This window comes from Homo sapiens, chromosome 9, assembly GCF_000001405.40.
Source record: "Homo sapiens chromosome 9, GRCh38.p14 Primary Assembly".
NCBI classification, from domain to species: domain Eukaryota; kingdom Metazoa; phylum Chordata; class Mammalia; order Primates; family Hominidae; genus Homo; species Homo sapiens.
Genome location: NC_000009.12, coordinates 105,694,094 through 105,719,155, shown reverse-complemented (window position 1 = coordinate 105,719,155; position 25,062 = coordinate 105,694,094). Strand labels below are relative to the sequence as shown.

The window sequence follows — 25,062 nt, the reverse complement described above, 5'->3', positions numbered from 1 at the left end:
AGTGAGAGTAGAATTTAGGTATATACAAAAAGTTAGGCAGAGAGAAGCTTCCCAGGCTTAGTCATTGAGAACTCTGTTTTCACTCTACTATCAATTCCACTCCTCTATCGAAGACAGTATCACTTAACTAAGACAAAACACAATGATAAACTAAATACAGTTCATGTTAGTCCAGTATGACAGCTTTGTTCTTGCTCTTATCACTCCAACAAATTGAAAATTTTTTGTACATGCTTTGAAAAATACAGACAGAATGACAACTATAAAATGATACCTTTTGTTGTATTTTTCCTCATCTAAATGTAGTCTCGGTTACACAAATGTGCCATATATAAGTAATTGATACTTGGAATTTTAAGAAAAATATATAGGAAACAAAAATAAACATACTAAAAAATTATAAAATATTTATTTCCCCCGGGAACAGCTTTTCAAAACAAATAAAACCTATGAAAGTGTACACAATACTATGACATACCAAGTTATTGTTTCTCTTTGCCAGTAGATGGTGCTAATTTCCAGATGTATACACTATGAGCTACTGTACTAAAGATTACCTTGCTTGCTTGTTTAAAAACATTTCTAACATCATTTTATCTCTCAAATTAAAATCAAATGGGCAGGGCACGGTGGCTCATGCCTGTAATCCCAGCACTTTGGGAGGCCAAGGCGGGAGGATCACGAGGTGAAGACTTCAAGATTAGCCTGACAAAACATGGAGAAACCCCATCTCTACTAAAAAACACAAAAATTAGCCAGCATGGTGGCGGGCGCCTATAATCCCAGCTACTTGGGAGGCTGAGGCAGGAGAATCACTTGAACCCAGGAGGCGGAGGTTGCAGTGAGCTGAGATCGTGCCATTGCACTCCAGCCTAGGCAACAAGAGCAAGACCCCATCTAAAAAAAAAAAAAAACCTCAAATGAAGCAAAGATTACAAATTTGTTCTAAATATGAAAACTTTGAAAAAGAAAATAGTAAAATACACTATGTCTTTAAGCCATAATTTTTTTATATTTAAGGATCTCTGAAGACAAAGGTAACATTCCTGTTTCCAGAGTACAAACCAATATACTGTGTAAGTACAGATTAAAGGACTAGCTGCGCCAGGTTGGAATCCCAGCTTCAACTACTCAGTAACTGTGACACCTTAGGCAAGTTATTAACCTCTCCATGCCTCAATTACATGCTTTTTAACACGTAATTGAATAAAATAATACCTACGTCTCAGGGTTCTTGTCAGGTTTAAGTGAGATAACATAAGCAAAACACTTAGAAAACTGGGACACAGTAAATGCTATGTAATTGCTATTATTGTTGTTTTGTAATGCCTAACTAAACACCTAGAACCAAGAAAACTGCCATCAACAAAAGAATAAAATATAGATATTAATATAATGGACTATACAGCAGGGGGAAGTTATGTTCTACAGCTACATACAAACAAACAGATGAATCTTAGTAACATAATGTTGAATACAAATCTTAGCTTTTTTATGTAGTTTTAGCATATGTTTATATCCATAAACAATATAGTTGTTAAAGGTTTTATAAATAGAATCATATGTATTTTTCTGTTTAAGCTCTATTCCTGAGATTTATTCTTATTGTGTGTGGTTATAATTACTAATTTTCACCAGTATTTACCGTAACAGAATTAATATGCCATAATTTATCCATCATTTCTCTGCTGACAGAGAGTTGTTCCCAGTTTTCCCTATTATAAATAGTGTTTTAAAAACATTCTTGCACATATCTGTACATAAGCAACATTTTCTCTTGTTATATGCTTAAAGATTTATTTTAGGAAAGTGATTCTTAAACTCTATTAGATAATGCCATTATATTAATATCCATATTTTTTCTTCTGTGGATGAGCATTTTTATTGCTTCTAGTTATTTCTCTGGGCATCATGAAGTTGAAGATAATGGTTACTTCTGAAGGCGGAAGAAAAGAGATGGAATGGGAGGAGACCATAGAAGTGACATAAAAACTAATGGTAAGGGTTCTGAGAAGATGGTAGTGGCTGCATACATTCTGATACTCTTCAAATTCCCATAAAAACATACAGAGAAACAAGACAGGAAAACCAAAATCCCACGCACAATAGTTGACTCTTCAACAACATGGGGGTTAGGGATGCCAACCCCTATGCAATCAAAACACCACATATAACTTCTGACTCTCCAAAATCTGACTATTAATACCTTACTGTTGACCACAAGCCTCACCAATACTATGAACAGGTGATTAACAGATTTTTTTATGTCATATGTATTACATAATTTTTTCACTGTCACCTACCTGTCCCTGATGTATTCTTATAATTAAGCCACAGAAAATGTTTAAGAAAATGTTAAGGAAGAGATAATGTATTTATTATTCATTAAGTGGAAGTGGATCATCATGAAAGTCTCCATTCTTCTTCATCTTCACAAAGAGTAGGCTGACGAGGAGGAGGGATTGGTCTTGCTATCTCAGGGGTGGCAGAGGCAGAAGAAAATCTGCACATAAGTGGATTCACACAGTTCAAATTCATGTTGTTCAAGGGTCAACTGTACTTACAACAAAACTATGTGACAAGGTATCCCCTCAAACCCCAAAATGCAAGTGGGTAGAGAAAAATCACTAACACCCACAACACTGTACTACTTGGCAGAAAGAAGAAAGCAACAAGGTGGCAACTGATGAACTTAAGACCAAAATCATACCAAAATAGCTAACGGGTATTCACTGGAAAGCAGAGCAGACTCATTTGGAAATATACACACACACACACACAAATGCTACAACTGACAGAGGTTCTGGCATCTCTAATACCAGATAAGACAAAGAGCCCATGATAAGAAGTTCTGAAAGGGTTGGAACAATTTAGTCCCTCTGAGCTTTAAGCTTTTGAAACTGACCCACCAGGGCTCTCTTCTATAATAAGCCCCACACTGAGAAGAAACTGAGAAGAATCAAGCCTGAGCTCCCCACACTGAGAAGAAACTGGGAAGAATCAAACCTGAGCAGAATAGAACAGAAGAAAGAAAAGGTCCACACCAAGCCAAGGAAGGTAAGAGATCCAAGAAATATCAAAAAGCAGGTCCTCATCTTTTGAACACTACATAAAAACAAAAGCAGGAGCTCTGTGAAGTCAAGAAAATATTTCCACCACATTCTGCAAGTTTATGAAAGCCAATTTCATATAAAAATGACCAAAAGTATCAAGATCAAATCCTATACAAAGTTATTACAAGAAAAAAAATAAGCAGAATAAATCCCTATAGACAATGTAAGCACTCAGGAAAATGTGCAAACAAAACAGATCAAAACTGTAAACTATGATTTCAAAACAAGCTAAAGACATTAAGAAAGTCATGTAAGACATAAAAGAACACACATAAGAATAAGCAAAACTGAGAACCAAAGATTCAACACTCAGGAGAGAGTAAGAGATAAAAGAAAAAAAATCATTTCCAAAATAAAAAACAAACCAGAAAACACAAAGAGAAACATAACAGATAGTGTCTTCAAAGAAACAGCAGGAGAAAAGAGAAAAGAGAAAAACAAGTGAAAAGCAGGTTAATTTTTTTAGAAATATAGATTTTTAAAAAATCCTTGAAGAAAGGCAAAGAAGAGCCAATATACCAATAATAAGAGTTCTTAACCAATGCAAAGGAAGAATACAAATACTAGTATTACTTTCTCAATTAAAAAAAAGTGTAGGTACCAAAAAGAACACACCATGTAGAAGAGAATACTGTCGCACAACAACGAACACCAAGATATTTTATTTAAATGACTGGACCTTAATGAAAAAATAAATCTTTAGGGATCTAGAAAAAAAAGATCTTAAAAGAGAAAGAAAATTAAAAGATCACCAGACTTTCACAGCAGTGCTTTAAGCCAGAAGAAAATGGAGTAATATATTTAAAATGACAGTGTAAAATAGTACATTTATTGTTAAAATGGGAGAATTAATAGAACATATGCAATAATAATTTTCTGTAATCATTTCTTTGGTAGTCTTTAACATTACTCTAAGACTACTGTGTGCATAATACAGAAAAAAATCAGTAATGTTAGAATATATTAATTTAATCACATCCTATGTCCTTAAGAAACCAAATTCTTAGGGTGGAAGAAAGGAGATATATATGTAACAGGGAAAAAATTTTAAAAAGCTATATGGTCCTGAATTTGAATTAGAAATATGAATATAAAGTCATGAGTTATTTTATCTTCATTTTTCCTAGCTCTGTTCACTAAAAAGGCCTAGACATAATGATCAACCCAATAACAGTGAGCGTCTCTAGCACTCAAATTGTGGTCTTGAAATGCCATTGCTCACCAAAAGAAACCAGAACGTCTTAGAGAAACAAGTGATTCCAGAAGAAAAGCACACAATGAATCTTACAACACCAGGTAGAAAGTAAACTAATTCAAAATCTGTCTCAGGAGTCTATCTGAAGAGGCTTCCACTGGCTGAAGATGGGATAATTTGAGCTTCGATATGAAAATAACTGAAATTTTATTGAAACCAATGAAATATAGTTAGTCCATGAGCTCATAATTATTTTATTTAAGCTGGTATCTTTAGACAATGACAGACATCCAGTTCATTATACTGAAAACTGGTAAATGAAGGGAAAGAACCAAGCATTACCTTTCCAGTATGAACTGTATAGCTGGTTTCCAAATAGATGATAAACAGGAAGTATCTATTTGTATTTTGGGATCTTTGGGATGTCACTTTTCTGGGCAGAAACCTTTGTGGCTGGTGGCACCCTTGACCAAGCTCTTGTCCTGCGTCCAGGAAGAATGAAGTATTCAGACAAGTGGAGGGTGAGCAAGACAAAGAGAAGCTTTGTTTAGTGTTAGAGCAGCTCAGAGAAGACCCACAGTGGGTAGCTCCTCTTTGTAGGCAGGTCATCCTGTTGAGTGTGCAGCTGTCAGCTGAGAGGAAGGTGGGTGGCTCCTCTCTGCAAGCAGGTCCTCCCATTGTCTCTGCAGCTCTCAGCAGGGAGGAGGCTCCTCTCTGCGGTTTGTAGGCAGGTCATCCCAACAAGTGCTCGGCTCTCAACAGAGAGGGTAGCTCCTCTCTGCAGCTGGTCATCCCCACATCTGCAGCTCTCAGCAGAGAGGAGGCCCTGCAGAGAGGGTAACTCCTCCGTGCTCAGCTCTCAGCAGACAGGGTAGCTCCTCCCTGCAGCTGGTCATCCCCATGTCTACAGCTCTCAGCAGAGGTGGCCCCAAAGAGGGTAGGTCCTCTCTGCAACTGGCCAGTCAACTCTTCCTACTCTGCCCTGCCCTGGCTGAGCCCAGAGCTTTTATGGGCCTCAGAGGAGAGAAATGCATGCTGATTTGTCCATGAGCAGCCATGGGAAGCCATGGGTGGGCCCAGGAAAAGGCACTATGAGTTCCGCCTCTGGTGGCAGGACTGGCAGCCCAGCTCCAGGCTTCAGACCTGCCCAAGCCTGAAGGTGGGGCTTCACTGGGAACCCGCCCCCTTCCACCAAGAAGCCTGTCTGCCTCCCACGTCATCCATCATGTCCAGGCTGTTGGCACCAAGGGGCACCTGCAGGCCAGCGCCTGGCCACCCTCAGCCACCCCTCAGTTTCCCCTCCCGCACTCTTCAGCACCCAAAGTCCAGAGGGGGCCAAGGTGGCAGGGGGCTGGCACGTCAGCACTGCCCCAAGCAATGGCACACCCAGCCAGGCTGTGACAGCGCCTAGGCTCAGCCCCAACCCAGCCCCAACCTTGCTCCAAGATTGGGGAGAGGCCAGGCAGCGGGAGCAGGCACCTCCAAGCCTGCAACAGCAAGGGGGCCCTTCCCAGACCCCACAAGAGTGCAGGTATGCCTGGGTCTGCAGCCCCGGTTTGGGGGGCTGCAGCTGTCGGGGAGGGGTTTGGAGTGGGGATCCTGCCTGCTCCGTGGAGCGGCAGGTCAGGGATTGCAGCCACTACTTGAAGGCTGCAGCCCTGCCCTCTACTGCCTACTCCTGGCTCCCAAGAGCAGAGGGGTGCCTGGGTTGCAGCCATGACTTGGGCAGCTGCAGTTGCACCTGGGGAGCTCCAGCCCCACCAACTTGGAAGGGGCAGGGCTCCCGCATGTCCCCAGCTCCCTCTGCTCCGTGGTGCATGGCACTGGGCCAAGTCCCCTCACAGCCTAGGGTGGGGGCTCCAGGTCCTCACTGGGCCTGGGCTGGCATCCAGGACAGGGGCAACATTGCCATGCAAGCTCCCTTTGTGGCCCCAAAGCTCAGGGGCGACCTGAAGCTCCCCCTTGGCCGGTGCAGGAACCAGCCTGGCCCAGCCCCATCGTGGAGACCCCAAGGGTGGCTGGTGGGCTGTGGGGGGTGTGGGGCTGTCCGCCTTCTCCCTGTGCCCTCCCTGAAGCAGCTGACATGATGGCAGCAGCCACACCAGATGGCCTGCGGCTGTCATCATTTATAGTAATATTCCAACTAATAAATAAGAAGAAAAGATAAAACTAGACTATCTTCATTTTGCAATTTCTAATTAATAGGCACTAAATGTAAAAGGGTGCTAATGTCACAAAATGGGACCTCTTAGAAGTCTTGGTAAAGGGATCTAGCCTAAATCTGATTTGGATTCTGCATCAATCTTCCAACTGTGAGGAAACACAAAGAACAGAAGAATATAATGATCTATACCATGATTATGCAATCAGCAAACTCTGGACTATGGAAAACTGCAAATCGACTGGCTCTGGTTCTTCAACAGATAAAGTTTAAGGAAAAGAAAGAAATTAAGGGTTAACCATTTTTTTAAAAAGCTTAAGAAACAAATGAAATTTTTGAATAGGCATGACTAAACTATAGTATCTAAGGATAAGCACTGAGTGATAAAATTATTAAAATATTCAAAAAAGTGATTACCATAAAAGTCAGGATACTGGTATGTTATCATAATGGTTATTTAAAGTGGGAAGTCGGTCGGGCACAGTGGCTCAAGCCTGTAATCCCAGCACCTTGGGAGGCCAATGCAGGCAGGTCACTTGAGCTCAGGAATTCGAGACCAGCCTGGCCAACGTGGTGAAACCCCGGCTGCACTAAAAATAGAAAAATTAGCTGGGCATAGTTTCATGCACCTTTAGTCCCAGCTACTCAGGCTGAGGCAGAAGAACTGCTTGAACCTGGGAGGCAGAAATTGCAGTGAGCCGAGAGCCACTCCACTCCAACCTGGGCAACAGAGCAAGACTCCGTCTCCAGAAAAAAAAGAGAGAGAAGGGGGTTAGGATTGGAATGGGACACACAAAAAGGACTTCTAAGGTAAGGAGGTAAGTGACAAAGTTGTATTTCTTTTCTTATCTTTTTTTTTTTTTTTTGGAGACAGGGTCTCACTCCTACGTGCAGGCTGGAGTGCAGTGGTGCAATCACAGCTCACTGCAGCCTCGACTTCCAGGGTTCAGGTGATTCTCCCACTTCAGCCTTCCAAATAGCTGGGACTACAGGCATGCGTCACGACACTCAGCTAATTTTTGGTAGAGACCAGGTTTTACCAGTTGTTCGAACTCCTGGGCTCAAGCGATGCCTCAGCCTCCCAAAGTGCTGGGATTACAGGCATGAGCAACTGTCCCAGGCGCAAAGTTGTATTTCTTGATTTGGGTAGTGGTTACAAGGATGTACCTTATAATAATTCATTAGGTCTTATGTTTGGCTTTGTGGTTTTCTGTATTTTCCTTTTTCTTTTCTTTTCTTTTTTTTTGAGACAGAGTCTAGGTCTGTTACTCAGGCTGGAGTGCAGTGGCACGATCTCGGTTCACTGCAACCCCCACCTCCCAGGTTCAAGCTGTTCTCCTGCCTCAGCCTCCCAAGTAGCTGGGACTACAGGCACAGGCCACCACGCTCAGCTAATTTTTGTAATTTTAGTAGAGACAGGGTTTCACCATGTTGGCCAGGCTGGTTTCGAACTCCTGACCTCAGGTGATCCGCCCACCTCGGCCTCCCAAAGTGCTGGGATTACACGCCTGAGCTACCGTGCCCAGCTATTTTCACTTTTTAATACAAAGATTTATTTAAGTGACAATTTTTTTCCTAATCTAAATGATGGATATATAACTTCATTATATCACAATTCTATTTTGCATAACTTTATAAATACTTTTTGTAACTAATTCAGTATTACTTGAAATTTTGCATTTAAAAAAATCACCAGCTGCCTGGTGATCTTGCGGGAAAGAACCACCGTGGTCCCAGCTTTGCGCAGAGGTAGGAGGTGGGCAGTGGAGGTGGGAGTGAAGTCTCAGGAAAAGAGGCGGTTGCCATAGCGGAGCCCTCTGGCTGTGTGTGTCTGAGGCTTGGCAGCCAGAGCCATGGACGGTTTGCTGGGCCCGTTAGTGCACCCAGTGGAGACACGCAGCCTTCATGTCCCGCTACCTGCCGTCTCCCCAACATGTCTCTGTTTGTCAGGAACATAGCCAACGACACCAGGTCTGAAGATTTACGGTGTGAATTTGGTCGTTATGATCCTATAGTTGATGTGTATGTTCCACTTGATTTCCACACTCACCATCCAAGAGAGGATTTGCTTCTGTTCAATTTGAGGGTGTTCCTGATGCTGAAGACACTTTATATAATTTGGACAGAAAGTGGATTTGTGGAGGGCAGATTGAAATACAGTTTGCCCAGGGGGATCGGAAGACACCAAATCAGATGAAAGCCAAGGAAGGGAGGAATATGTACAGTTCTTCACGCTATGATGATTATGACAGATACAGACGTCCTAGAAGCCGAAGTTATGAAAGAAGGAGATCATGAAGTCAGTCTTTTCATAACAACTATAGAAGATCATATAATCCTAGAAATAGACTGGCTGGAAGACCACAGAGTAGCAGAAGCCATTCCGACAATGACAGACCAAACTGTAGCTGGAATATCCAGTACAGTTGTGCTTACTAGACTTCAAGAAAGATCTGAAAGTGGAAAAAGAACCAAAGAAGGGCAGTTCAAGTGACAAAGGGGTGTGTGGAAGGTGCTGCAGTATGAATACTGTACAAATATTTTGACTCTGGTCTGAAAAGATAAAAGAATGTTATCGAAAACTACATGGAATAATTGAAGTCCCCTCAAGTTTGAAAGTAAGCATTTTAGGACAAATAAAAGGACATTCAACTTTGTACTTGCGGAAACTAATCCCTAAATATGAATAAGCGTATATTGATTCATGGGTAATAGGTCCATAATAAATTATTGGAAACTAGGATGTCTGAATATCAAGGAAGACAGCCGTAGTCTCTTACAGTGCCTCTGTTGGTCTGCCTCAAACTGATTTAGGTGGGAAAAGTTATGGTCCAATATAAAAGTTCCATTTTCGCCATTATTGGCAAATCTTGCCTTTGTTTATTTTGGTGTCAGTGTTTTCTGCTTAATCATTGGCTTTGTTGGCATCTGCGTTTATTTACTTGTACACCACATGCAGTTTACATCTTCCTTAACTACTCTCCTTCCCAGGTAAATTCCAATTATATTCGACATCCAGCTAAGAGGGCCCATCTCTTCTCACCTCTATCCTAGTCAGTATGTTCAGCAAATATTTATTGAGTGCTGACACTGTGGGCAAAACATTGTACTGGTTAATTGAGGAGAAAAGTAGATAATTCCCTTATTCAGTAAATGTCTACTGGGTACAATCTAGTGAATGATTACAGTATGGCCTAATTGTCTTGTTTGAGATGTATTATTCGTTACAATATTTTACACCATTCATATCTTAATATAATTATAGAACCCAATATACTATCAAAGATAAGTAATTGTGTGGTTATATGCCATTTAAAATTATCCCGTGTTTGTCTGATCCCATTATTACAAATAATTAAAAAATGATTTGTTTTAATCTGTAATAAACTGATTTATTGTGCAGTGACTGTAATATACTGGAGTTATATTAAATTGTTTACTCAGCCTCACCAAACACATACTAGGAAATAACCCCCAAAATAAGTATTTAACTTTGCATTAGATATAAACGAGACTGGGTGCTATAATTAGATTATTTTAAGGTAGACAGCTATTATCCCAACTGATGTAGTATGTTCTGTAATTGAGAAAATGTTCACCAAATTTTACTTTTTAGTGATTTACATGTACATTTTATAGGGGACATGTTCTATGTATAGTGAATAAATAACTTTGACAGTAAAAAAAAAAAAAATAGCCAACGTGGGAAACATAGTGAGACCTCATCTCAACAAATATAAAAATTTTAAACATTAGCCAGGGGCCAGGCATGATGGCTCACTCTCTGATGGGCTATTATTCCAGTATAGTTAGAGCAACATAAAAAAAAAAATCAACAGATAACATGTTGGATAGCAATAATTCTAAGAAGAAAAATAAAGAAGGATGATGTGATAGTCATGGGAGAGGAGGTGCTACTTTAGTCAGGGAAGGCCTCTCTGATAAAACAAAATATGAGACTTCTGAGGAAAAAAAGATTACAAAGAGAAGAAAGAAAGTACAAAGGCATTGAGGTAGAAGAATACCTTACGTTGGAACATTCAAGAAATAGCAAAGCTCATGTGACTAGAGCAAACTGAGCAAGAATAGAGTTGTAAGACGTTACATAAAAGAAAGTGAAAGCGAGTATTTTGCAGGGTTTTACAGGCCATGGTAAAAGTTTGGGATATTGTTCTTAATAAGATAAGAAATTACTGAGCACATGAGTGACATGTTCTAACTTAAGTTGTCCCTCAGTATCTGTAGGGGACTGGTTTCAGGATTCTCCTTCAAAATCTGTGAATGTGAGAGCCCCTATATAAAATAGCAGAGGATTTGTACATAACCTACACACATCCTCCACTACACTTTAAATCATCTCTAGATTATTTATAATACCTAATACAGTGTAAATACTATACAAATAGTTGTTACACATTATTGTTATTTGCATTATTTTTATTGTTGCATTGTTATTTTTTATTGGATTTTTTTCCAAATATTTTTGATCTGCAGCTGGTTGAATTCAAGCATGCAAAACCCATGGGTATAGAAGGCCAACTGTAATAATTTTGTCTGCTCCATGAAGAATAACGAATAGACTCAAAGGGATAATCAAAGAAGCAGCAAGACCACTTAGGAAGCTCCTGCAATCATCCAGGAGGTTAGTATTATAGGAACAGAAGTAGAAATAACAGAAAGTATCAAATTCTGGATATCTTCCTTTTTGTATAGTTTCAGCATCTATACACATCAAAAAATTCTTCCAAAATGCTAATAACTTTTAAAAATATTGTTATAGAAATAAAAGTCTTTGGGAAAGTTTTTTAAAACACATAGCAACTGGAAGACTACACTTTAAGAGATGGTTAAACAAATCTGTGAGAGATAGTGGCTACAAAGTGTGAAGACTCTAAAGTTAAAAACTTCTTGTTTTGATTCTAGCTCAACCACTTACTAGACAAGAAAGTTATAGCAGCATTTCCCTATGCCTCAATTTTATCATTTGTCAAATGGAAATAATAATAGCTACCTTATAGTACTCCTCTGATTAAATATAACAATGAATATAAAGAACTTAACTGACATATCGTAACAACTCAACATTGCCATAGGTTCCCAGGATTACTTTTTCCCATTGCTACTATTATTTGTAATATCCCTTTTAGAACTGGTTACATATTCATTTTAAAATTATCACAATAAAAATGAACTGTAAGTGTTCCTGTTATATATTTAATGATATGGTTCTTAACAGAAAACAGTTTCTGCTTTATACATTAAAAAAACTATAATTTTTATTATAGATTATTTTAAACTTGATGGATCAATCCTCTTAAGGATAACGAATTTGGATTTGCAAGAATTCAAGGCAATTCCGGGTAACATTTTTTTCTTCACTTCAAAATTATAAAATTTAAAGATCTCATAAAATCAACAGAGTATGAGAAGAATAATTAAATATGAGCCATAATTATTTGGACTTTTTGGTTAGTTTCAGTTGGTCACATACATGATTTTATCATGTTGTATATCTGCGTGTATCAGTTAGGTTCACAAGATAAACTCTAGGGCCAAATACTTAATGCCCTTTCATATTGGAAATGCTTCTATTAAAGATACATAAGACAGGCTGGGCATGGTGGCTCACGCCTGTAATCTCAGCACTTTGGGAGGCTGAGACGGGCAGATCACTTGACATCAGAAGTTTGAGAACAGCCTGGCCAACATTGTGAAACCCCGTCTCTACTAAATATACAGAAAATTAGCCAGACGTGGTGGCGCATGCCTGTAATCTCAGCCACTTGGGAGGCTGAGACAGGAGAATCGCTTGAACCCAGGAGGTGGAGGTTGCAGTGAGCCTGTAATAAGGGTTAAAAAGAAAAAAAAAAAAGTTTTCCTCTGCTTAGCAGCTCAATTCAAGAACAGTTATAACACTGTCCAAAAAGCCAAGGACAGAGGAATGGGCTCCAGACACCCCCGCCCCCTCCAGAGCAAGGTTAAGGAAAAAAAAAAGAGAGAGAAAGACAAATTCCTTTATTGTTACTCCTTTCCCTTGCCTCTTAAGCATAACGGTGTTTTACAAATGCCTGTATTTAGCCAATTCTTGTTTTTCTTTTGACACAGCTAAAAGGCCACCAGCTATGCAAGGCCACAAGTTATGCACTATATGATTAACTACCTTTGTTTTGCTCTTATGAGCCCACTTATAAAAACCTCGCTCTGTCTTTATTCAAGGCCCAGCTTTTTGGAGGTAAATCCACTGAGCCGGTGTGTACCTCACAATAAATATCCTCCTGTATTCACGCATACTGGTCTCTCTAATCCTCTGCGTCCCGCAACAAGCTGAGAGCGCGCCACTGCACTTGCAGTCTTGCACATAGCAAGACTATGTCTCAACAACAACAAAAAAGGTACATAAGACAATGGCAGACAATAATTGCTTCTGGGAGAAGATAAGGGAAAATAAAAAAGAAAGAGATATACTTTACACTTAAAGCCTTTGGCATGGCTGGGTGCGGTGGCTCACACCTGTAATCCCAGCACTTTGGGAGGCCGAGGCGGGCAGATCACCTCACGTCAGGAGTTCAAGACCAGCCTGGCCAACATGGTGAAACCCCGTCTCTACAAAAATACAAAAATTAGCCATGCGTGAGGGCGGGTGCTGTAATTCCAGCTACTCCAGAGGTTGAGGCAGAAGAATCACTTGAACCCAGGAGGTGGAGGTTGCAGTGAGCCAAGATTATGCCATTGCACTTCAGCCTGGGCAACAGAGTGAGACTCCGTCTCAAAAAAAAAAAAAAAACCCCTTAGCATTATTTGGGTTCCTTCCTTGCAGATGCATTAACTTTTCAAGCACGTAAAATATTGTTCAAAGAAAAAAAAATTCATTTTACTAACAATTTACAACACAATTGTTTAAATGTCACATAGGTCACCATACTGGCAGCTTACCAGATTGAAGATGCCAGTAATATGTTAGTGTGGTTTGCAAGAAACTTCAATGGAGGCTCTGCAAGCAGTAGACAGGATAAAATTCCTCCACCAAAACAGTGGAGCATAGCAGTAAACCAGCTTGAAATAGGATTCTTCCATGCCAATGCAGCTGCTCCTGAAATGGTAAAGTAAAATATGGTCTGTGATCATTATACATTTATTAAACAAGCCCCAAAGTACAAGTTGCACTAAACAAATAAACTTCTTAAATTCATAATTTTCAACAACTATTATTCATAGGTGTGCCAGTCAAAATCATTAAAAATCATACCTTTTATTCTTTAAAGCAAGACTGGAAACATTTTGTTAATGGGTGATTTTTGGCACTTTGGCACCTTTAAAATACTCTGTTCTGTTTAGGCTGTCATTGCCAGTTTCCTAGTAATGGATTATTATAAACGATATTCTCACTTATTGTCTCCTTCCATCCCAAACCCTACAGTAAGCACTCCCAGACAATATGTCAAAGTGATTTATTAAGAAAAATTTACAATCTTAAGTATATTGGAAAATAAAGAAGTTGAAATAAATAAACTAAGCTTTCAACAAGACAGGTGAGAAACAGAGTAACAAAATAAACCTAAAGGTGAAAGGTTTCTTAGGAATAGATATTTATACTACCTCAACACGAGTCTTAACTAATTACTTATTAATTGTAGAGGAAAATAATAACTTGAGAGTGGGGGAAACCTTTCAGACATCACTGTAAATAACATCAAGTGACTCCTGATATGATACACTGAGAACACATCATCACTTCTGTGGTATCTCTTTTTTTTTTTTACTTTGAGATAGAGTCTTGCTCTGTTCCCCAGGCTGGAGTGCAGTGATGCGATCTTGGCTCACCACAACCTCCACCTCCTGGGTTCAAGCAATTCTCCTGCCTCAGCCTCCCAAGTAGCTGTGACTACAGGCACCTGCCACCACGCCCAGCTAATTTTTGTATTTTTAGTAGAGACGGGGTTTCACTATGTTGGCCAGGCTGGTCTCAAACTCCTGATCTCGTGATCCACCCACCTCGGCCTCCCAAAGTGCTGGAATTACAGGCGTGAGCCACCGAGCCCGGCCACTTCTGTGGTTATTTCTAACAAAAATATACAACCTGAACTAATCGAATCAGACAAACCCAAACTGAGGGCTACTCTGAGAAAACAAAAACAAACAACAAACAACAACAACAACTGGCTTATATTTTTTAAATGTCAAAGTCAAAAAAACACCCAAAAAAAAGGCCAATAAAACATTCTAGATATGAACAATGTCTCTAACTCAAACTATATTTATTTATTTACTTAATTACTTATTTATTTATTTTGAGACAGGGTCTCGCTCTGTTGCCAAGGCTGGAGTGCAGTGGAGTGATCTCGGCTCACAGCAACCTCAGCATCCTGAGTTCAAGCACGTCTCATGCCTCAGCCTCCCAAGTAGCTGGGATTATAGGCACGCGCCACCACACCAGGCTAATTTTTGTATTTTTTTTTTATACTTTAAGTTTTAGGGTACATGTGCACATTGTGCAGGTTAGTTACATATGTATACATGTGCCATGCTGGCGCACTGAACCCACTAACTCGTCATCTAGCATTAGGTATATCGCCTGATGCTATCCCTCCCCCCTCCCCCTACCCCACAACAGTCCCCAGAGTGTGATATTCCCCTTTCTGTGTCCATGTGATCTCATTGTTCAATTCCCACCTATGAGTGAGAATATGCGGTGTTTGGTTTTTTGTTCTTGCGATAGTTTACTGAGAATGATGATTTCCAGTTTCATCAGAATCTACAATGAACTCAAACAAATTTACAAGAAAAAAACAAACAACCCCATCAAAAAGTGGGCGAAGGACATGAACAGACACTTCTCAAAAGAAGACATCTATGCAGCCAAAAAACACATGAAAAAATGCTCATCATCGCTGGCCATCAGAGAAATGCAAATCAAAACCACAATGAGATACCATCTCACACCACTTAGAATGGCAATCATTAAAAAGTCAGGAAACAACAGGTGCTGGAGAGGATGTGGAGAAATAGGAACACTTTTACACTGTTGGTGGGACTGTAAACTAGTTCAACCATTGTGGAAGTCAGTGTGGCGATTACTCAGGGATCTAGAACTGGAAATACCATTTGACCCAGCCATCCCATTACTGGGTATATACCCAAAGGACTATAAATCATGCAGCTATAAAGACACATGCACACGTATGTTTATTGCGGCATTATTCACAACAGCAAAGACTTGGAACCAACCCAAATGTCCAACAATGACAGACTGGATTAAGAAAATGTGGCACATATACACCATGGAATACTATGCAGCCATAAAAAATGATGAGTTCATGTCCTTTGTAGAGACATGGATGAAATTGGAAATAATTTTTGTATTTTTAGTAGAGACAGAGTTCCACCATGTTGGCCACGCTGGTCTGGAACTCCTGGCCTCAAGTGATTCACCCGCCTCAGCCTCCCAAAGTGCTGGGATTACAGGCATGAGCCACCACACCTGGCTTCCAACTCAAATTATTTTATTTTAATGTACTGGCATTTAGAAGAGAAAAAAGAAATTTCTCTGTCCTACCTTAAGATGTTTGAAATACGCTATCAATAGAATTATTTTCCCCAAAATTCTTAGCAACATTTGTCACATTGAGACCTAAATCTAATTCCAAATATAAGATGTTTAAAATGCAAATAATTACATATGAACTTTAATATCAAAATGCTTTCAGCCAGGCATGGTGGCTCACACCTGCAATCACAACACTTTGGTTTGGGAGGCCAAGCTGGGAGGATTGCTTGAGTCCAGGAGGTCGAGACCAGCTTGAGCAACATAGCAAGACTCCCATCTCCACAAAATATAAAAAATTAGCCAGGCTTGATAGTACACACCTGTAGTCTCAGCTACTCAGGAGGCTAAAGTGGAAGAATCACTGAGCCCAGGAGTTCCAGGCTGCAGTGAGCCATGATAGTGCCAATGCACTCAGCCTAGACAACACAGTGAGACCCTGTATCAAAAATAAATAAATAAATAAATAAATAACTTCATCATGAAACGAAAGCTACAAAGAAAAATAAAGTCACACTGTACTTCCATAAATACATTTAAAATCACATCTACAAAATAATCCCAAATTCTGGCAAAATGAATCATTAGACTACGCTTAATAGTTTTATGAACTTACAGTTATAACAAAAGTTAGAAAGATATTTTGTTAATGCACTGCATACATGACTTCTTTATTTTCTTGTACTCAGTCTATTTTAGTTCCAGAGTGTGTCCCTGTTTTTAAGAACTACTTGCACTGTAGCTATTTTCAAAACAGTTGACATTCAACTTGCTAGTGGCTGACATAACTTCTAGAAAGAAGCATGGGAATGTTCTAGCCTTCTTAAAACTTCAACTCTACATATTACATATTTTTAAATTGCATATTAGTTTACTTTTGCTTTAGTCTTTCCCCTTTATAGATTTATCTTCTTTTTAAAAAGAGAGAAAAATGAACAACATATCCTATATGCCTCAAGTATGCTTTTTCATCAAAATTATTTAAAAATAATCACGTAAGCAACAGAGGCTTACAGATTATCTATGACACAATTCAAGGAGTTTTAGATCAAGTTTGGGGGATTTTTTTGGTTTTTAAATTTTTTTAAATTTTTTCAGAGATGGGGTCTCACTATGTTGGCCAGGCTGGTCTCAAACTTCTGGCCTCAAGTGATCCTCCTGCCTCAGCCTCCCAAAGTGCTGGGATTACAGGCGTGAGCCACTGCACCCAGCCTTAGATCAAGTTTGAATCATAGTGGGCCAGGTAGATCCACATACTCACCTTGCAGTTATTCCCCAGTTCCTTAATGAGTAATTAGAACAGACATACTTGGCAACTGACTCAATGCCCATATAGATTCTCTGATTTATGGCATAAGGAGCAATATGGTATAATGGATCACATAGAAGCCCCTAGGTATTCCTCTCCTCACCAACAAAGTAACCAAAAACAATACCACAGAAATTGGTGCCACAACCAAAGACAAAAAGGTGGTGATAGCTACCACATTCCACTAACTTACCTGTTTGATCTAAATATAAGACAGATGGATCTTGGAGAATAGCTATGAATTATAAACACAGAAAGGTCGTGACTGTAATTGCAGCTAGTATTCAAGATGTAGTATTTTTACGGGGTCAAATCAACACAATTCTTATAACTTGGAAGCAAATGCTTTTTTCTTCCTATTAATTTGCAAAAAATCTCAGAAGCACTTTGTGCTTTGTTCAACCATTACAGTCTTGCTTCAGGTCTATGTTAACACTCTTGCTCTCTAAAATAGTCCAGAGATTTTGATCACATTGAGAAATCACACATCACACTGATCTGCTGCACTGATGACATTACACTGACCGGGTCTGAAGACTGGCAAGTAGCAAGTACTTTAGTTATCTTAATAAGATATATGCAAACCAGAAAGTAGGAAGTTCAAACCCTACTCCTGGGTATCTGTCCAGTCAGGAGATAGAAAATACCATTATTTAAATAGAACTCAGTAGGTATAAAATTGTTAACTAGGTTATTGAAAAGGCAAAAAGTAAATACTACATTATCACAGAGTTCAGTTCCAGAAAGCAGTTACTACTCTGGGGGAACAATAGGCTGAAATTATTAAAATTTAGAAACTTGGTGGAGGAGCTCTTTAGAGCCCAGACTGAGACCCCTGTGGAGGAAACACTGCTCAGGTGTTTCCTCCACAGGCCATGTGAACCCGTGCACATGGCCTCTGGCTCTTTAAATCATGTAACAAAGGGGCTTTGGGGAGTGTCATAAATGTTCTATTTTTATCTGCATATGGGTGTGTTTGAAAATCCACTGAGCTGTACATTTATGACTTTTGCACTTTTCCCTGTTTTTACATGGGGACTCATAAAGATATTGCAAAACTCAGCTGCCACCACTGCTGTCACCTTTCCAGGATGCCCAGAACTGATAAATCCTAGACTTACAAACTTTCATCTCCCACAAATTACAGGAAAGGAACAATGACAAACTTTATTCCAGGATTTAATTCATAGAAACGACAGAAATCATTGGAGAAAATAACCATGTCAAGTGACACCTTATTGAGAAATTGCTAATTATTGAAACCAGGAACAGTAAATGGTCATGCAAAGATAAGGCACAGAATAGTAAGAAATTTTGGAATGAACCAGATCTGGAGTCAAGAACTAGCTCCATAATTTACTAAACCATGTGACTTAAGGGAGGTTATTTTATCCCTTAAAACTATTCCTCATCTATAAAATGAGTTAAATAATACCTACCTTACAGGAATGTGTGAGGAATAGAATTAACATACTGAAATGTTCTCCCAGTATCTAAAATCAATGATGGCTACTATTATTGTGTAGAAAAGGTAGTGCAACCTTATGTGACACTATCAAAAATAAAGAAAAAGCACCAATAAGTCTCTTTAGGGCTATAACAGCATCTTTCATGGCGGTATCCTAAACATCTAATATAATGCCCAATACAGAGTTTCAATGAATATTTGCTAAAATTAATTATGTATGACTTCAGAGAGGTTAGCAGAATAGTCATGGCAGAATTTAGAGTAAAACAATACATTTTGTGTGTAATAGAAATTACTGTAGTCAGGAAGTCTTACACAAAATGGTGGTTTGATGTGAATGTAGGATTGAAGAAATGTGTTTATTTTAATGAAGACTTAAGAGACATTTAAAATGTAAGATAAGATAGATTAAAAGTAATGATGTAAACTTCCTGTTAAAATGGCTTCTCACTAGCAACCACCAAAACAGCATATTCCAACTTCCTAATAAAATGCCCAGGAGACAGAGAAAAGAAAAACAAACAAACAAAAAAAACTTATACTATCAGCCCAAACTGAAAACTATAGCCAATCACACGCAAGGGTTCAGGAGGATTCACATGTTTGTTCACGAGACAAATGGAGGTAAACAAAGAAAAAATTAATCCCACTTGTTGTATTACCTGATGTCTTTTATGTCTTTGCTTATGAAGCAAAAGTTACATAGAAGGCTGGAGGAGTATTATCTTTCCTGGGATTTTAAAGCCGAAAACCTGAACCAAACAAAAATGGGATGCAGTCCTTCACACCTTAGGCAGAAAAGAGTTAATCCCCTTTATCATTTTGCTTCTGGTGGCATTGTTTAAGATCTAGGCAGACAGTACAAAAGATCCGATATAAATGGTGGGAAAGTACGGAGTGAGGTATTGTTAGTGGCAGAGTGCATACCAAAATAAAGTCTCAAGGAGTAACACGTCTGAGAGGGTAAATATATGAAGAACTCTGGCAGTAGGATATATGAGAATTACAGTTTACTGTAGGTGTGAGTTCTAGAGAATCAATCACTGGGGGGATAGGAAAAAGTTGCCAATTAAGTAATGCATACATATTCTAAGTAAAAATCTAAAAGAAGTGGTGTTGGAGTAGGAGGAGTACACACATATTAGCTTCAGTTCTGACTATGAAAAAGGAATGCTGACCACATAAATAGAGAGTAATACAAGCTACTCACTCCATCTACTGAGCCTGAACAAATGTATCTTATTCAAAATGAGTTAGAAGAAAAAAAGACATATATGGAGTGTAAAAAAATTACCATAGGACATAAAGTGATTAAGATCCAGAAGATTCAAGTGAAATAGATAACATTTAAGAATTAACTACCAAAGAATCCAGAGAAATTTTCTACAATATAATGTAAACATTTACTCCAATAGACTTGGAAGTCTAAAAGAAATAGATGATTCCTGAGAGAGACATAAATTACCAAAATGACTTAGGTCTGGATTGGAAAAAAAATAAGATTTACCCATTAAAATATACCAAGAAACATAAAACTACATAGTTGAAGTCTACCAAATATCAAAGAACAAGCAATGCCTATTAAATAAACCATTCCAAGCTTAAAAAATGGAAAGCTTCCCAATCTATTTTACAAAAACAGCATAACCTTGGGCCCAAACTGAGGGTCACACAATAAAATAACCTAATAGGCTCATTTCTATTATAAACATAAATGCAAAAATTTTACATGAAGTACTGCCAAATCAAAATCCCTAATGAATTAAAATAATGTATCAAGTAGTTTAGTCCAAGAATATAAGGATGATTCATCATTTTTTAAAAAACGTAATAATGTAATTCACTACATTACATTTTTAAATGGGAAACACAATATGATCTCAATAGATTTTGAAAAAAAAATAGCACTTGATAAAATATGTCACCTTCTCCACCAGGATGGTGTAAAGATATAGGGATATCCTAGAAAGTTGGGAATAAAGTAAAACTTCCTTAAAGTGTCCCTCATAAAAACCTATAGCAAACATCACTCTTGAGAAAACTTTAAAAGCATTCTCATTAAATTCAGGAATATCAGGAGTAAGACAAAGTCACTCACTATCATTAGTATTCAACAAAACACTCTTTAATATATAAGAGGCTAGAAAAAGAAATGGAACCCGGGTTCTTGGCTACAAGCAGCAAAAACCAACAAACTTAAGCCATAAAGAATTCATTGGAAGGACTTCAGTAGCTCACAGAAAAAAAAAAAATGGGACGCTAAAGAAAACAAACAAGAACTAAGGACATTCCAGAGGTCTATGCACGTGGGATGATCTTAGTAAAGGTCTAGAGCAGAACCAGTTCAATGAGCATAGAGCATACTCTGCTGAGATCATTGAGTTCCAACTGTTCTATCCAGCCATGACCAGACTTGCAAAGGAACATCTATACAACAAAAAATACTGCAGATAGATTACGAACCTATACTTTTATAGAACTATAGAATTTTTTAAAAAAAGATCAAGGACGAGTATTTTTATAACCTTAGGCCTGAGAAACCCCTTCTTAAAATGCACAAATCCCAATAGTGACATAGGAGAAAAAAATTAATAGATTTTTTCATGGAAAAGTAAAAATATTATGAGATTTTTTAAACTTCTGCAATAAAAGACAATATAAACAAAGTTAAAGATAGCAAGAGTTATGGGAAAAAAGGACTACAGACATAAATAGAATGAATATCCATGATCCACAAAGACAGTAAATAGAAGACAATAACCTACAGCCCAATAAGAAAATGGACAAAAAAAAATTAAGCAATTTACATGAAATACAAATGACCAATAAGAGGCACAAACACATCAGTACCATGACAAACATAAATGAAAAATTGCTTTCTGATCATCAGAATGGCAAGATATTGAAGACCAATAATAGAACTGTCAAAGGAAATGGGCAGTCTAACACACTTCGGGTAAAAGGCTAAACAGGTACACTGTTCACTCTTGTGTCTGAATTCCATCATTTTTACCTCCTTACAAGTACTGGTACTGTATGATACTATATAAGTATTCAATAATCACGTGGTTCTCAAATTATGGAATCTCAGGAGCCCTCTACATCCCTAAAAATTAGTAAACAGATTAATGCTTGCCAAGGATAGGGGACAGCTTACACAAAAGTGCAGGAAGGAATTTAGGGTGGGTGAGGAAACCGTTCAGTATCTTGATTGTGATGGTAGTTGAATGACTGTATGTGTCTGTCCAAAAACACAGAACTTTTTATTAAAAATGGTGAACAGATTCTATGTGAATTACATCTTTTAAAAAATCGGACTTAAATTTCTTGACAACCCCAAAAGGTTTTGTTTATGTTGGCTACAAGTATCAATACTTAGCATCTTAGAAATTATAACTGAGAAAATTTTAAATAGTTGTGGCGGCTAAAGCAACTCCAACATCCGCCATGTTGACTTATGATTAACCCCAGTTCTGGGATTGCCTCTAAGATTTATATTTTATCTACTGTTCCTTGTGTAAAAGTATACACTTACCGATCTTGCCCTTAGGTCAAACAACCTTGACGCTATTTCACTTACCATAAATCCTGCTCTTAAGCAACTGTCCTACACATCTCTGGTTGGGGGTTGGGGGTCGGGTAATGGGGTGATCCACCATCTCCTTGGGGCCACCCAAGACATGGCTTCTGTTCTTAAGTCCCTTTTAAAGGTTTCTTTCTAAGAAACTGGATTCCTCAGCCTCTCAGCTTCCTCAGCCTTTGGGGATAGGACTGCATAGACCTGTCCACTATGCAACAATTGTTCTTCATGTTTTCATTTTTTAAAAAGTAAATGTATTAAATGTTAACATAAATAATGTATTCTTCAAGCCTGGCCAACATGGCGAAACCCCGTCTCCACTACTAAAAATACAAAAATTAGCCGAACTTGGTGGCAGGCGCCTCCCAGCTACTCCGGAGGCTGAGGCAGGAGAATCGCTTAAACCCAGGAGGCACAGGTTGCAGCACTGAGCCGAGATCGCGCCACTGCACTTCAGCCTGGGCGACAGAGAGACTCCGTCTCAAAAATAATAATAATAATAATGATAATGTATTCTTTATGAAAAATAACTTTTCCAAAACAAAAAACATTTAGTGAGAAGAATCACACTGTGTACATTCTAACAAATGTCTGGCTTCAAATAGAAAACTGTTAGATTCTCATATCTACTTCCTTCTGTTACAGTATCACAACTCAGGTAGCCTCTGGAAAACTCCACTGTACACTTCTGAAAAAATGAGAGTGAAAAAGATAACATCTGCATATTATTACGAAAGTAATTTTAAACTGGCAGTGTCAGAGAATCCCATGGGTCCCTGGACCACAATGTGAACATCTGATTCAGCCTATACAAAAAAAAATTTTTTTAATCAAATTCTGAACATGTAGTAGCAACAAAACTTACTTTTTTCAAATCAAAGAAATAATATCTTATGCAGATAATGTGTTCTACTTTAATGCAGTAATACCATCCTCATCCAGGTCAAAATTTGTACCAACGATTTAAACTGAGCTACAAACTTCAACATAAATGAAAAATATTTCTGAGGTCTAAGGATTTTTTAAAACCAGTAAGTAGTCCATAAGAAAGATACAGCATCATCCTCCAGACCTCACTCATCAACTATCCGTAGGGCAAGGCAGATGAAAGACAGCAAGAACACAAAGAAAGTAGGCAAAGAAATGTCTGACCTCAAAGAAAGAAGAGGTCCATACAACTAAAAGCACAGTAGAATAACTACAAAAGTAAAGCAGTATTAGAGCAAACGCACCCTGGTGTAAAATCCAATAAAATACAACTACTGTCCCTTGATCGCATTGCTAAAAGAACTCAAAATGCTGTTTCAAGACTATATCCCCATTCTGCAGATAGTGAAACTACGCCAGGTAACTCTTGCTTGTACAGTGTCCGTCGTGACTGTGAAAAGGGGAACGCACTCGCTTCTCACATGCTAGGCAGGGTGTTAGGACACTGCGTGAAGGGGAATCCTGGTCTGGCTACAGGAGGCTTTTTGTTTCAGTGCTTGTACAACTTTCATAACTGGAGAGTAGTCCGCAACCATCTATTACTCCAAGAGACTGAGTCAGAAACCTGCTGTCTCCTCACATGACTTTCAAACACTGCGAGCGAGTGGCGACACTGCGAGCGAGTGGCGACACTGCGAGCGAGTGGCGGTACCGCGAGGAGGCCGCCCAAGCCCTGGGCTGGCGCGGATATCTGTGGTTCCGAAACGCTGCGGCAGCTTCTGTCAGTCCTGGGACTTCTGCGGGCGGTTGGCAAGGTCGGCCCTGCTCGCCCAGGCTACGGCCTCGCGGACCCCAGGTCACGCCTCCTTTGAGGAGTACTAGAGCCTCCGTCCTCCCCCACGCTGTTTCCCCATCTGCACTCAGTAAGTCAGACCAACCGGCCCTTGGCGCCCCTCCAACTCTACCATCGAACTGTCTGGGCTAGCGGCCACTCAGCCGCCCACCCGACCCACCCGACCCACCCGACTTAGACGGTCCTCGCCGTCAGGAGCACTCTGAGGGGTCCGGCCCGCGGCGCCCCGCACTCACCCGGCTGACGTTTCACCGCCATCACTGACACTAGATAGTGCGCGATGTCAAAAAAGGGAAACATGGACGTGCGGGAGAAGGCCAGAGCCAACTCGTCCCATGGAGAATCCATAACGACCACCGACCGCGGCAACCGAAGCAGCCGCGGCTACTGGTTCCCCGCGCTCGCGCGGTGAGGAGTAGGAGAGGGCACAGCCGCGGCCGCCCGCTCCTCCGCGCCGGCTCCAGCTCCGCGCGTGCGCCCTGGCGCCGAGGGGGCGGGGCCGCGCTTCGCGGGAGCCGCAGGCTCACCGGCGCTAGGCGGGTGGGCGGGGCGAGCGGGTTCCCCGCGGCTCCAGCCGGCTCTTGCCTCGGTTCTCCTAGTAAGGGTCCAGCGTCTTCTTGGTCCTGGGCGCAGTGCAGGACCTGGAGAGCGTGCAGATGAACAAAACACGGTCCTCAAGGGGAGACGCTCAGAGTTGGATTTATTTCTGTAAATTGATGTCATTCACCTAACATTTATCGAGCAACCACAGTGCAAGTCACACTGTGACTTACTGGAGATATAAAAATAAAACAATAATATCCTGACCTCAAGAACTATGCGTTCCCTGAAAGAGATTTTTTATAAAAAGAGAAAAAACGCACATAATGGTACAAAAGCAGGTACTGAGAAGTATAGCTGCCGTGCGAGAGCAGT

The 25,062-nt window shown here is 39.7% G+C and overlaps 1 protein-coding gene, 1 long non-coding RNA gene and 1 pseudogene across 5 annotated transcripts in view, besides 4 other annotated features; 2 read left to right on the top strand and 1 right to left on the bottom strand.

The window, feature by feature from the left end:
- The window catches only part of TMEM38B (transmembrane protein 38B), an 82,089-nt gene extending 57,474 nt beyond the window's left edge, over window positions 1-24,615 (bottom strand). For 3 of the 4 annotated variants that reach the window (NM_018112.3, XM_011518832.4, XM_011518831.3), the window contains exons 1-2: window positions 24,384-24,615; window positions 13,403-13,559 (exon numbers count right to left, since the gene is read on the bottom strand). In NM_018112.3, coding sequence (NP_060582.1) covers window positions 13,403-13,559; window positions 24,384-24,495 — 269 coding nt within the window. In that variant the 5' untranslated portion in view covers window positions 24,496-24,615. Of the gene's footprint in view, window positions 1-13,402; window positions 13,560-17,512; window positions 18,199-24,383 lie in introns of those variants that run through there. The other variant, XM_005252075.3, reaches the window with a different exon arrangement.
- Window positions 4,782-4,982: a silencer, noted in NCBI's record as "peak7316 fragment used in MPRA reporter construct". NCBI's record gives its function as "represses an SCP1 promoter by STARR-seq MPRAs in K562 erythroleukemia cells {active_cell/tissue: K562}" and the evidence as "EXISTENCE:reporter gene assay evidence [ECO:0000049][PMID:32103011]".
- Window positions 5,354-5,648: a silencer, noted in NCBI's record as "tiled region #1451; K562 Repressive non-DNase unmatched - State 14:Gen5'". NCBI's record gives its function as "represses a minimal TATA promoter and a strong SV40 promoter by Sharpr-MPRA in K562 cells {active_cell/tissue: K562}" and the evidence as "EXISTENCE:reporter gene assay evidence [ECO:0000049][PMID:27701403]".
- Window positions 5,354-5,648: an enhancer, noted in NCBI's record as "tiled region #1451; HepG2 Activating non-DNase unmatched - State 23:Low". NCBI's record gives its function as "activates a minimal TATA promoter and a strong SV40 promoter by Sharpr-MPRA in HepG2 cells {active_cell/tissue: HepG2}" and the evidence as "EXISTENCE:reporter gene assay evidence [ECO:0000049][PMID:27701403]".
- Window positions 7,174-12,857, top strand: LOC107987107 (uncharacterized). Its single transcript, XR_001746868.2, has 4 exons — window positions 7,174-7,287; window positions 10,964-11,111; window positions 11,755-11,829; window positions 12,686-12,857. It is a non-coding gene; the product is annotated as an uncharacterized LOC107987107 (long non-coding RNA).
- Window positions 8,303-9,223, top strand: LOC100421293 (serine and arginine rich splicing factor 10 pseudogene; annotated as a pseudogene).
- Window positions 24,512-24,781: a silencer, noted in NCBI's record as "silent region_20154". NCBI's record gives its function as "represses an Ori minimal core promoter by ATAC-STARR-seq in GM12878 lymphoblastoid cells {active_cell/tissue: GM12878}" and the evidence as "EXISTENCE:reporter gene assay evidence [ECO:0000049][PMID:35858748]".